Source organism: Homo sapiens, chromosome 2 (genome assembly GCF_000001405.40).
Source record: "Homo sapiens chromosome 2, GRCh38.p14 Primary Assembly".
Classification (NCBI taxonomy): Eukaryota; Metazoa; Chordata; class Mammalia; order Primates; family Hominidae; genus Homo; species Homo sapiens.
Window position 1 is genome coordinate 110,545,468 of NC_000002.12, and position 13,389 is coordinate 110,558,856.

General features: G+C 40.2%; 1 protein-coding gene across 19 annotated transcripts in view; it reads right to left on the minus strand.

Moving 5' to 3' along the window:
• Nucleotides 1–13,389, minus strand: part of RGPD6 (RANBP2 like and GRIP domain containing 6) — a 97,255-nt gene that overhangs the window by 31,666 nt on the left and 52,200 nt on the right. For 18 of the 19 annotated variants that reach the window (NM_001384362.1, NM_001384363.1, NM_001386155.1 and 15 more), the window contains 7 exons: nt 12,385–12,580; nt 6,257–6,344; nt 3,926–4,135; nt 1,637–1,818; nt 1,378–1,553; nt 1,087–1,210; nt 6–164 (listed from right to left, as the gene is read on the minus strand). In NM_001384362.1, coding sequence (NP_001371291.1) covers nt 6–164; nt 1,087–1,210; nt 1,378–1,553; nt 1,637–1,818; nt 3,926–4,135; nt 6,257–6,344; nt 12,385–12,507 — 1,062 coding nt within the window. In that variant the 5' untranslated portion in view covers nt 12,508–12,580. The remainder of the gene's footprint in view (nt 1–5; nt 165–1,086; nt 1,211–1,377; nt 1,554–1,636; nt 1,819–3,925; nt 4,136–6,256; nt 6,345–12,384; nt 12,581–13,389) is intronic. The other variant, NM_001386163.1, reaches the window with a different exon arrangement.

The following is a 13,389-nucleotide window of genomic DNA, read 5'->3' on the forward strand; positions in this document are numbered from 1 at the left end:
GTTACCTGAATGTCTACACTATGAAAATGTTTAAACAGAGGATCAATAGGTTCAGGAATACTGTTCTTCTTTATTATCTTCAACAATGGCAAAACTTTCTTCCAATAATGAACACTTCTCCCTATGTATTCTAGTTGACCATAAAAAGAATTAAGACCGCTGCCCTAAAAAAGAAAGTTAAAAGCACACAACTTTAAGGAACACGCATGATTAGATCTAAAGTTCATTTACAAGTTGTAAGAACTGGCTAAAATTTCAAGTCAAAACCAAATGGTACCTCAATAGTCATTTGTTCAACTTCCAAATACTGTAATAACTAAACCACCTTAATACCAGTGAACTCACTGCAACCTCTGCCGTGCAGGTTCAAGCAATTCTCCTGCCTCAGCTTCCCAAGTAGCTGGGATTACAGGCACCTGCCACCATGTCTGGCTAATTTTGTAGTTTTAGTAGAGTTTTTTTTTGTATTTTTAGCAGAGACGGGGTTTCACCGTGTTAGCCAGGAATGATCTCGACCTCCTGACCTTGTGATCTGCCCGCCTCGGCCTCCTAACGTGCTGGGATTACAGGTGTGAGCCACCGCACCCGGCCTCTACACTCAACTTTTAAATGCTTCTAATGATACCACTCTAACGTAGCAATCCAAACTACTTTTTAACAGTTGTCCTTTTTAGATAGCTGAAACCTGCCTCTTCTGTAGTGTCAGTTTGTTCAAAAGGCTGACCATCTACACCTAATGGTGACACAAAACACACCTTAAATATTTAGAAAGATCTATAATGGTCTTACCTACAAAGCCTTGTGCTAATTTTTTTTTTAATTTTCAGGCTGAATAATTATCAGAACTTAATTATTAAGGAATAACAGTAACAGCTCAGCTAATATGTAACATTCACTGTGTGCCAGGCATTGCTCCTCTAAGTGCTTATATTTAACTACATTAACTATTTTGCAGCAATAAAAAACACATCTGTCATAATATGACCAAGCTGCTGTTTTCAGAACAAAAAAACTTTCAATAAAAAGTTCATGATTTTAAAAAATTAAGGTAATGTTCATTAAAAATGCTTATACTTTAAAACTCACCGTTTTCTGAAGGTATTTTGCCCAATGTACAAGCAGAGCAGGTTGAAGGCCATGTTTTTCCTGGGCTCTTAGAGTGTTTATTTCATGCTGAACTAGAAGTCTCAATTTTGCCAAGTTTCCAGGTCTAAAAAATAGTTCAATTTACTAAAATTGCTTTCTAAATACACAGTTCAGCGCTTACATACATATATGTTAATGGGTCACATGACAAATTAAATCTTCACACGAGGATTAAATCCCCGGTAAAACCTACGCACTAAGTGAAAGCAATATTTTTGTTTTACTACTTACACTGCTTTTCTGTGAATCAGAGTACAAACCGCATCCCACCAAGATTTTTGTCTTTCTGTACAAAGCTGTTTACACACAGGAAAGGGCAGGCATAACGGCTGATAGGAGCTATGGTGAGAATTACATTTCTCCTTTAATTGTAAGTGGCTGGTATATACTACTCCAAGGAGAAATACCTGTTTCATTTAAGGAAAAGTTAAGTTAGAAAAAAAAATTAAACAAAATTCAGAATATTTAATTTGTTAAAATCTTTGCTTACTTCAAGATCTAAAATACATATTGATTCAGGCGCATTTGTTTCAAGCCTTGAGGTTTCATGGGGCAAACGATGGAAAAGCTGTTTTAGCCATTTTCGGATTCCAGGTAAAGCAGGCAATGAATTCCACTGTAAGCCAAGCCAAGTAAGATGCTGAAGACTACCATTATGTGCTCGAATAGCACCTGAAATAAAATTTAAAAATTGGCTTAAGGGTTTGAAATTTTTCTTTGTGCCATTAGTTTTGCCAACATAAACAATTCACATTATATATATCTTAATTATATAACTGCTTTTCTATATCAAAGCTGGAGGGAATTCTATGTTAGGCAAAATCTCATGTTCTTATTAAATGCATTCTCACTTGATTATTTCTAGAAATTTTAATAAAAATAGTAGTGATGAAGAATGTTTAAGTCCATCTTAAAAAATGACACTGACTAGAACTCAATAAACCAAAATCAACTGACAAAAGCCAAATAAAGAACACCTAACCTAATAAGAAACCCCAAAACAATGGGTTTTGCTTTAAGTCATTAAAGCAATGGAACACCACTATATTAATCCATCGGTACAGTAAAGAAATCTGTTTTTCTACAAGAAAGTCAATATTGAAAATGTTATGCGCAGTCAGGAGTTCGAGACCAGCCTGGCCAGCATGGTGAAACTCCGTCTCTACTAAAAATACAAAAAATTAGCCGAGCACGGTGTCACATGCCTATAGTCCCAGCTACTTGGGAGGCCGAGGCAAGACAATTGCTTGAACCTGGCAGCCGAGATTGCGCCACTGCGCTCCAGCCTGGGTGACAGAGCGAGACTCTGTCTCAAAAACAAGAAAAGAAAAGAAAAGAAAAGAAAAGGTTATGCGCTTCTGGAAGCATGAAGAGGTATAATCTTTCTGTCATTTTGGCAATTTGCAAGACTTAAAGATGTTCATGTCCTTTGTCTCAGTAATTCTGTTTTTAGGTATCTCTATGGAAATAACTTGCAATGAAGACACTTTTTGTTGAAGTTTTTATCAGAGTATGATTATTAACAGTGGAAAAGTTGAGAAAACTTGGATGCCCAATAACAGAAAGTAGCAAGCAAATTATGACTACTTCATAAAAAAGATTATATTGCCAATAAAAGTGATATTTATAGTTTTAATACACAGACTATGGGAGAGAATTCATGAAGGAAGCAAGATAAATCATACATAAACAACCATTTAGATGAAAAATATGGCCAGATGCAGTGGCTCATGCCTATAATTCCAACACTTTTTGTTTTTGAGACGAAGTCTCGCTCTGTCGCCCAGGCTGTAGTGCAGCAGTGTGATCTTGGCTCACTGCAACCTCCACCTCCCGGGTTGAAGGACTCTCCTGCCTCAGCCTCCTGAGTAGGGACTACAGGCACATGCCACCACCCCCGGATAATTTTTGTATTTTTAGTAGAGACGGGGTTTCACCATGTTGGCCAGGATGGTCTCGAACTCCTGATCTCAGGTGATCTGCCCGCCTCGGCCTCCCAAAGTGCTGGGATTACAGATATGAGCCACTGTGCCGGGCCTAATCCCAACATTTTGGGGGGCTTAAGCAGGAGGATCACTTGAGCCTAGGAGTTGGAGACTAGCCTGGGCAACAAAGGGAGACCCTGTCTCTGCCAATTAAAAAAAAAATTATCTGGGCCGAGTGGCATGTGCCTATGGTACCAGCTACTCAGGAGGCTGAGGCAAGAGAATCCCTTGAGCCCAGAAGTTCAAGGCACCAGTGACCTACGATCATGCCACTACACTGCAGCCCAGGTGACACAGCGAGACCCTGTCTCAAAATACAACAAGGCTGGTCGCAGTGGCTCACACCTGTAATCCCAGCACTTTGGGAGGCCAAGGCAGGTGGATCACCTGAGGTCAGGAGTTTGAGACCAGCCTGACCAACATGATGAAACCCCGTCTCTACTAAAAATACAAAAAATTAGCCGGGCGTGGTGGCGGGCATTTGTAATCCCGCTACTTGGGAGACTGAGGCAGCAGAATCACTTGAACCAGGGAGGCAGAGGTTACAGTGAGCCGAGATCGCACCACTGCACTCCAGCATGGGCGCCAAGAGCAAAACTTGGTCTCAAAAACAACAACAACAACAACAAAAAATACATGCCACCCCCACAGCACCACATTCAAACTCCCCCCAGCCCAACCCACACACAAAAGGAATACAGGAAAATATTAAGTCGTTATTTCTGGGTAATAAGATTATGGGCAATTTATAAGAATTAAGACGGAGACCATTTCCTCTGAAACATATAACTTACCAACATCGTATCTAGCCAAATCTTCAAGCTCTGGTTCTTGTACATCAATTTTTCCAATATCATCGCTACCAAGAAAAGATGTATCCTTAGGTGACTGACTAGAAAACAGAGCATCATATAACGCAGACTGCCCAATTTTGTTGGCAAAAGTTTCAACAACCTCTTTTAAGAAATCTTGCTTGCCACGACTTAAGCTTAGCAACATGTGCCCTGAAAAAAAAATTTAAGTTATTTCCATCACTTTAAAAATACAGATTGTATTTGCTCACGTTGTCTCATTTGTATACCCAAAGGGGAAATAACATGATTATTGCAAACCTAACCCTCCAACCCAAAAAATACAGCTGGACAACAAAATGGGTGCTTATGTAGCAAATGAAAAGAGTACAGGTTTAATATTCTCAGTATCTACATAAGACAGCAGAACGGGGAAAAAAGACAGGAATGTGTATGAAAAATGCCAAACATATTTGCACTTTAGATGAAAAGGTCTGGATTTAAGTGGCCATAGGAGAACAGGGACAAGCTCTTATTCTCTGATCTGATACACTGATTTCTGAACCTGGCTGATCAGAATCCTCCTTTAAACAGCTTTTAAGAATTATTTCCAGCTGGGCACGGTGGCTCATGCCTGTAATCCCAGCACTTTGGGAGGCCAAGCTGGGTGGATAATGAGGTCAGGAGATCAAGACCATCCTGGCTAACACAGTGAAACCCCATCTCTACTAAAAATACAAAAAAAAAAAAAAAAATTAGCCGGCCCTGGTGGCGGGTGCCTGTAGTCCCAGCTACTGGGGAGGCTGAGGGAGGAGAATGGCGTGAACCCGGGAGGCGGAGCTTGCAGTGAGCCGAGATCACGCCACTGCACTCCAGCCTGGGCGACAGAGTAAGACTGTCTCAGGAAAAAAAAAAAAAAAAAAGAATTATTTCCAGGCCTTGTTCCCAGAGATTTTTATGCCATAGGTTTACAGTAAGCAATCAAAAAATCATAGTCCTCGGATAAAGTACTGATACATGCTACAACACAGATGAACCTTGAAAACCTTGCTAAATCAAAGAAGCCAGTCACAAAAGACCACATACTATGATTCCATTTATGTGAAATGTTCAGAAGAGGCAAACCTACAGAGACAGATTAGCGGTTGCCAAGGCTGAGAGGTTTGGGTAAAATGGGGAGTAACTGCTAATAGGTAAGGAATTCCTCACGGAGTGATGAAAATCTTCTAAAACTGACTGTGGTGACAGTGGTAATACTCTATGAACATAGTAAAAGCCACTGAACTGTACACTTTAAATGGGTGAAGCGTATGGTATACGAATTATATTTCAATTGAACTTTTTTTAAAAACCCTCCTTCGAGTTAATTCTGCTGGGCAATTAGGTTTGGTTACCACTACACAGTTGTGTCTCAGCACACTTACAGAGGCACCCTCGGAATGCCCAGATCAAAGACATAAAAAAAAGATACAGGCAATTTTTATCTAACTGTGACACCATGCAAAGGCACTTATGAGAGCCCTGCAAGGGTAGAAGGAAAAGAGAAAAGGGAAAAAGTAGAAAGTCACTTTAAGGACTGAAAGCCTAACTCCCACAAAAAAAGTGGGCTATGGAATAAAAGAGCAATGTGAGCTCTGGCCAACAGCCTAACTATACACCAAAGCTTATAATAACTTTGATTTAATATTACATCTTGCTCTTTACAAAATTCATCCAATTTTATATCAAAACTGCTCCTTATAGAAAGCATTATGTTTCTTCAGTTCACTGCTTGATTCAATGGCCATCTAACTACCTTAAAGTTTGTATCTTAGCAAAATCACAGGTAATATGCAACAGACCTTTAGGATTCATCCCAAGCCAAAAATGGGGGAAAAAATCCACAAATTCCAAGAGCCTAATATAAGGTAAGTATATATCTTCTATCTTCCTCACTATGCTCTCAGCTCTTTAAGACAGATCCGTATCTTCTTCATCTTTATATCCCCACAGCAGTGTTTTTAGAATCAGCTGGTGTTAAATGGTTGGCAAATCAATAATTATACTTAGTTCAGGAAGTGACTAAATATTCAGGATAGAGGCTCTAGCAGCCAGATGAAGAAAGAGTTAAGAAATCCTCTCCACATAGGAACAAACAATATCAAATATTCATTTTTTTAAAAGAATGTGCTATTTCTTCGCATCTCTTCCATACCTATTGCTCTTAACTGATACGGCAAAAAGAAATAATTTTGACAAATTATCTCCTGGACAGATGAAGATTTTATCATAAGATATGCCTTAACAGAAATTCCTTTTTCTTTTTAAATTAAATTAGTTTAATATTACTATTACCTGATTGGCTCAGTCGGTCACAGGCCATCATTTCCAGCAGATTTTGTCCAGCTTTACCTTCTCTTAATTTAATCTTTGGTCTTGGAACCTAATAATTTTAGAATCAAAAATCTTAATTTGATGATACCCATACTTCTAATAGTAACATGGTCTTATCTATTACACTGTACTTTTTTTGATAATGAATAAACAGTTAACCATTAATTAAACTGAATTGGAAAAGACTGCAAAAACTGGGAACCAAGGAATTTATATAACCTATGAAAGATAGGCCAGGTACAGGCGTGGTGGCTCACACCTGTAATCCCAACACTCTGGGAGGCCAAGGTGGGCTGATCACTTGAGGTCAGGAGTTCGAGACCAGCCTGGCCAACATGGTGAAACCCAGTCTCTACTAAAAATAATAAAAAAAAAAACAAAGAGCCAGGCGTGGTGGCACACACCTATTAATTCCAGCTACACGGGAGGCTGAGGCACAAGGATAGCTTGAACCTGGGAGGCAGAGGTTGTAGTGCGCCGAGACTGCGCCATTGCACTCCAGCCTGGGTGAAAGAGCGAGACTCCATCGCAAAAAAAAAAAAAAAAAAGAGGGGCCAGACATGTTGGTTCACACCTGTAATCCCAGCACTTTGGGAGGCCGAGGTGGGGGGATCACTTGAGCCCAGAGTTCAAGACCAGCCTGAACAACACGGTGAGACCCTATCTCTAAAAAAAGTTTTTTTTTAATTAGCCAGGCGTGGTGGCACACACCTGTGGTCCCAGCTACTCAGGAGGCTGAGGCAGGAGGATCACTTAAATCCAGGAGGTCAAGGCTGCAGTGAGCCATGATCATGCCACTGTGCTCCAGCTTGGGCGACAGTGTGAGACCCTATCTCCAAAAAAAGAAAAAAAAAAAAAAAGCATACACAGAGCAGCTCTGAGAAATTAGTTTCTACTAAAAGCACATTCATGTTACATTCAGAGAAATGGAAAATTTAATTACATTACTTTTCTACCCTGCATAAATAGGACAACAGCAGATGTTGTCCTATTTGAGTAGATATGACACCCTACTTTAAAAAGCACAGGTGAAATGACACTTGGAAATGCCACATTGTAGATAACACATTTTCAGAGTATGGATAATAGGGGATAGCACTAGAATAAATGGGACAACCAGGAAATTAAAGAGATCCTCATGCAATAACCTATGGAAGAAAAAAAAAGCATGATGAATAGAATGGCGAAGGGAAGACGTGACAGCTGCCTTCAAATATTAAAATTATTTTATAAAAGAAATCATCAAAAGAAGAAACAAGACCAACAGGTAGAAGGCTTGAAGAATATTTTTATTCTATATAAGGAAGTACCAAGAGCCAAACCACCTAAAGATGCACTGGGCTATCTTGAAAAGTAATGAATGTCCATCACTGAAAACGTCCAGTCATAGGCAATGCCCGCTTACTAGAAACATGCCAAAAGTAACTATATGGGTGACTAGAGCATCGGCTTTTAATTCTATCACCACTTTCTTAATTGGTGGTGGAAATGTAATTTGATACAACCTCTTTAGGGTTAGATATTTGGCAACAGCTCTAAAAATTATAAATGCACAGATATACTTTGATACTGCAATTCTTTCAGGAATTCATGGCACAAGTTAATCATTGCTAAATTACTTGAAGTAGCATTTAAAACAAAAGTAAAAGCAAGCTAATGTCCTGGTTTTAGGACCCTGGTTTTAAAAACTCCAAAACTACAGTACATCCATACAATGGAATAATATGCAAGCATCCAAACTAATGAGAATGCCCTTTATATATACTGACATGGAAACATCTCCAAGATACAGTTAATGGAAATAAAGTAAATGCAATGTTCAAATGTTTTCCTCCTTCTTTTAAAGACAGGGGATATATGTGTGTTTACTTGGAGATGCATAAAACATTTCCTGAAGAACACACAAGAAAGCAATAACATTAGTTTCTTTGGGGGTGGAGAAAGTAAATAACTAGGGAACAGAAAGGAGTCTTCATAGCATATTCTTAAGAGCCGCCAGAATTTTAAACCATGTATATATAATTCTTTCCAAACATGCTCATTTTTCAAAATATATGATTTATGAACCTAAAAGCTTCTGATTTTGAATTTTAGAAATATTCGTATCGCCTATCCTTTTACTCACAAGTTTTCTAAACATCATGTCAAAGTTTGTCATCTATATGTTGAAAAGAGCACACAAAGTAAGAAACAAAATGTTGACATCATTCTTTTTGTTTTCAAACTGACCTCAATTCATAAACCCGGCCTCTTTTACAAAATTATTCAACAGTTGAATCTGTGACCAGTTAATTAGTTGTGAATCCACTCAATCAAATCATCTCAATTCACTATTTCCTTTTTTTTTTTTTTTGAGATGGAGTCTCGCTCTGTCGCCAGGCTGGAGTGCTGCAGTGGCACGATCTCGGCTCACTGCAACCTCCGCCTCCTGGTTTCAAGCAATTCTCCTGTCTCGGCCTCTCAAGTAGCTGGGACTACAGGCACCCGCCACCATGCGTGGCTAATTTTTGTATTGTTACTAGAGATGGGGTTTGACCATGTTGGTCAGGATGGTCTCAAACTCCTGACCTTAAGCGATCCGCCCGCCTCAGCCTCCCAAAGTGCTAAGATTATAGGTGTGAGCCACCACGCCTGGCTATTTCCTCATCTTAACTAAAAGGTTTCAAGATACTTTGTTAACTACCTAGCTGCAATGCAGATGCACTTACTAGAACCACAGTATTCCTCTGATTAAGAGTCTGAAAATCTTGCCATAAAAGTTAGCCAATTCTTAAATACCCAAATGCCAGCACATAACCTACATTTTATGCTTATAATCATTTGTTCATTAAGCTTTAAAATAAACTGATCAAATAAAATACAAGCATCTAAGATGTTTCTATTATATATTCATTCTACAGAAATATGTGGTAGTTAATAAAGACTGAGGTAGGTATCTCTGTGCTGAAGTGGAACAATGAAGAAACATTTAGAAAAGCAAGGCATCTGGCAATAGGTAAAGCACACCCACACTGAGGCACAATATTTTTTAAAAGCAGAGAAAGAATGTATTGCACATTTGCATATGCAAAAAATATTTCTGAACACCCAAGAAACTCCTAACAGTAGCTGTCATCTAGGAAAGGAGACCTGAGTGAATGGATTAAGAGGGAAACTAACTTATTATGATTAAAAGTTCACAGTCAGGTGTGGTGGCTCATACCTGTAATCTCAGCACTTTGGGAGGGCAAGGCAGAAGGATCACTTGAAGCCAGGAGTTCAAGACCAACCAGCCTGGCAAACATAGCAAGACCTTGTCTTTACAAAAAATTTAACAATGTAGCCAGGCATGGTGGCAGGCACCTGTAGTCCCAGCTACTGAGCTGAGGCTGAAGCAGGAGAGGATCACTTGAGCCCAGGAGTTCGAGGATGCAGTGAGTTATGATCATGCCACTGCACTCCAGCCAGAGCAAGAGTGAGACTCTGCCTCCCAAAACTACATATCAAAAAATTGTAGGCTGTGCGCAGTAGCTCACACCTATAATCCCAGCACTCTGGGAAGCTCGAGCCCAGTTCAATGTTACGGTGAGCTACGATTACGCAACTGCACTCCAGCCTGGGTGACACAGCAAGACTCTAATAGACACACAGACAGATAAATTTTAAAGTTTCCATTAAAAATAAGAACTATTGGCAGGGTGCGGTGGCTCACACCTGTAATGCCAGCACTTTGGGAGGCCAAGGTGGGCGGATCATGAGGTCAGGAGATCGAGACCATCCTGGCTAACACGGTGAAACCCCATCTCTACTGAAAATACAAAAAAATTAGCCAGGCGTGGTGGTGGGTGCCTGTAGTCCCAGCTACTCGGGAGGCTGAGGCAGGAGAATGGCGTGAACCCAGGAGGCGGAGCTTGCAGTGAGCCGAGGTCGTGCCACTGTGCTCCAGCCTGGGCGACAGAGTGAGACTCCATCTCAAAAAAAAATAAAATAAATAAAAATAAGAACTATCAGTTACTTGAGAATTTCTATAAGAACCTTTTAATGTTTGTATTACCTAGTGAACCTCACTAAATCCATTAATTTTCACTAATCCATTCCTTATGAACACAGAAGTTTCTACTGAGCAAATATTAGCACTTAACATGTGAACTGTCTATCAACGGTGTTTTTAAAAGATTTACAGGCCGGGCTCAATGGCTCATGCCTGTAATCCCAGCACTTTGAGAGGCCGAGTCGGGTGGATCACGAGGTCAGAAGATCGAGACCATCCTGGCTAACATGGTGAAACCCCATCTCTATTAAAAAATACAAAAAATTAGCCAGGCATGGTGGTGTGTGCCTGTAATCCCAGATACGTGACAGGCTGAAGCAAGAGAATCACTTGAACCCAGGAGACACAGGTTGCAGTGAGCTGAGATTGCGCCACTGCACTCCAGCCTTGTGACAGAGCGAGACTCCGTCTCAAATAAAAATAAAAAGATTTATATTAGGCAGGGCATGCTGGCTCACTGCCTGTAATCCCAGCACTTTGAGAGGCCGAGACGCGCAGATCACCTGAGTTCAGGAGCTCAAGACCAGCCTGACCAACATAGAGAAACTTCGTCTCTACTAAAAATACAAAATTAGATGGGCGTGGTGGCATGTGCCTGTAATCCCAGCTACTCGGGAGGCTGAAGCAGGACAATCGCTTGAACCCGGGAGGCGGAGGTTGCAGTGAGCCAGATGGCGCCATTGCACTCCAGCCTGGGCAACAAGAGCAAAACTCCGTCTCAAAAAGAAAAAAAGATTTATATTAGAAGGAGGGGCCTTCTCTAAAAGTAATGAATCTTTTTTCTCCCTCCCCAAGCAAAAAATCCTTCTCTAAAATTAATCATCTTTCTAAGCCTGGTTTAATGTTTTTTTGGAAGACTGCTTATTTCTTTTCCTTTCGAAAGTTATGCAAGCTCATTAAAAAAAAAAAAAAAAAAAAAGGCCAGGCATGGTGGCTCATGTCTGTAAATCCCAGCACTTTGGGAGGCCGAGGCAGGTGGATGACTAGGTCAGGAGATTGAGACCATCCTGGCTACCACGGTGAAACCCCGTCTCTACTAAAAGTACAAAAAAAAATTAGCCAGGCATGGTGGCGGGTGCCTGTAGTCCCAGCTACTCAGGAGGCTGAGGCAGGAAAATGGCGTGAACTCGGGAGGTGGAGCTTGCAGTGAGCCGAGATCGTGCCACTGCACTCCAGCCTGGGCGACAGAGCGAGACTGCGTCTCAAAAAAAAAAAAAAAAAAAAAAAAAAGCCAGGCGCGCCAGGCGCAGTGCCTCGCGCCTGTAATCCCAGCACTTTGGGAGACCAAGGCAGGTAGATCAAGAGGTCAAGAGATTGCGACCATCCTGGCCAACATGGTGAAACCCCATCTCTATTAAAAATACAAAAAATTAGCTGGGCTTGGTAGCATGGGCCTGTAGTCCCAGCTACTCGGGAGGCTGAGGCAGGAGAATCACTCGAACCCAGGAGGTGGAGGCTGCAGTGAGCCGAGATCACGCCACTGCACTCCAGCCTGGCGACAGAGAGAGACTTGGTCTCAAAAAAAATAAAAAAATAAAAAATAAGAAAAGGTTTTATGTTTTCAAAGATTAATAGATATACTGTTACATATACACAATACAGTCATAAATGTTATATACATGTGTTTCAATTAACATGTTAAATTGCAATCATATTCTTCTATCATAGGCTATAAAGCCATTGCCCTACGTCTACTTATTAGGATTTTGTCCAAGTAACACATCTTTTTGAATCAAGCTTTACCCATAATACGAGATTACATCTTTATCATGTTCCCAAAAATGGCAGAGTAAAAAGATCAAACTCTTCAAATTTGTCTACAAACAAATCATGGCAATGCAGGCTTTCGACAAGAGTGCATTCAACATCCCTGTTTCACCAGCCTCACCAGTATTGTGTATGCTTAGTTATTTTCCACTGTATCAAATTGACTATTTCATTTTAACTTTAATTCCACAGGTTTGTTCACATATTGTCATTACATACCAGAGCACACCTTCATTTAAAACACATCAAGACTCCGTGAAATGTCAATTGCTCCTACAAGTGGAAGACTTACCTGAAATGCTATGAGATAGCACAATGCAGCCAGCTCAGAAAGAGCTCGCCATTGAACATTATTACCATGCTGACCCATCTTCAAGAGCAGAGAACCAGCATACATATAGAAATGTCCTTTCATTTCTAAGAAAGTAGCTGACAGTTCATCATTTCCACCCAAAGAAGATTTCGCAGACTGAAGAGCACTATCAAAACTGTAATATGAAAATATCAAACAGATGATACACACTTACTGCACTGTGAATAATCATGGTTGATTTAATTCAAAACAAAATAAAAATTTTATTTCAAGCTTCATCTTCCACATTCAACTTCTAATAATTCTTATTCCCCATGTTATAAATTATGAATCATCTAATGCTTATTTTTATCCTGCATACTTCCTATACTTCATGCTTAACCTCTCAAATGATGTCTTATTCCCAGTTATTTCCAGCCCTCCAATCACAGAATAAATATAAGATTAGTGATTATAGGTGCACATTTCAAAATAAACCAGGATAAAGTTGGGAGACTATTTTGTAGTTTCTTCCTGATCATATAATTTCATTATTTAATTAACAGTTGTAATTTCTCAAATTAGACATACCATTTCCAAATTATAAGTAAATAACTGACAGGTATTTGAGTATCAATACAGCAATTGCTCTTTTTACTATATAGATCATTACAGCGTTAAATAAATTGTCTTTTTTTTTTTTTTTTGAGACGGAGTCTCTCACTATCGCCTGGGCTGGAGTGCAATGGCACGATCTAAGCTCACTGCAACCTCCACCTCCCAGGTTCAAGTGATTCTCCCGACTCAGCCTCCTGAGTAGCTGGGATTACAGGCACCTGCCACCATGCCCCGCTAAACTTTTTTTATATTTTTAGTAGAGACAGGGTTTCACTATGTTGGCCAGGCTGGTCTCGAACTCCTGACCTCACGATCCGCCCGCCTCAGTTTACCAATGTGCTGGGATTACAGGCATGAGCCACTATGTCTGGCCTACTATTTGTAATC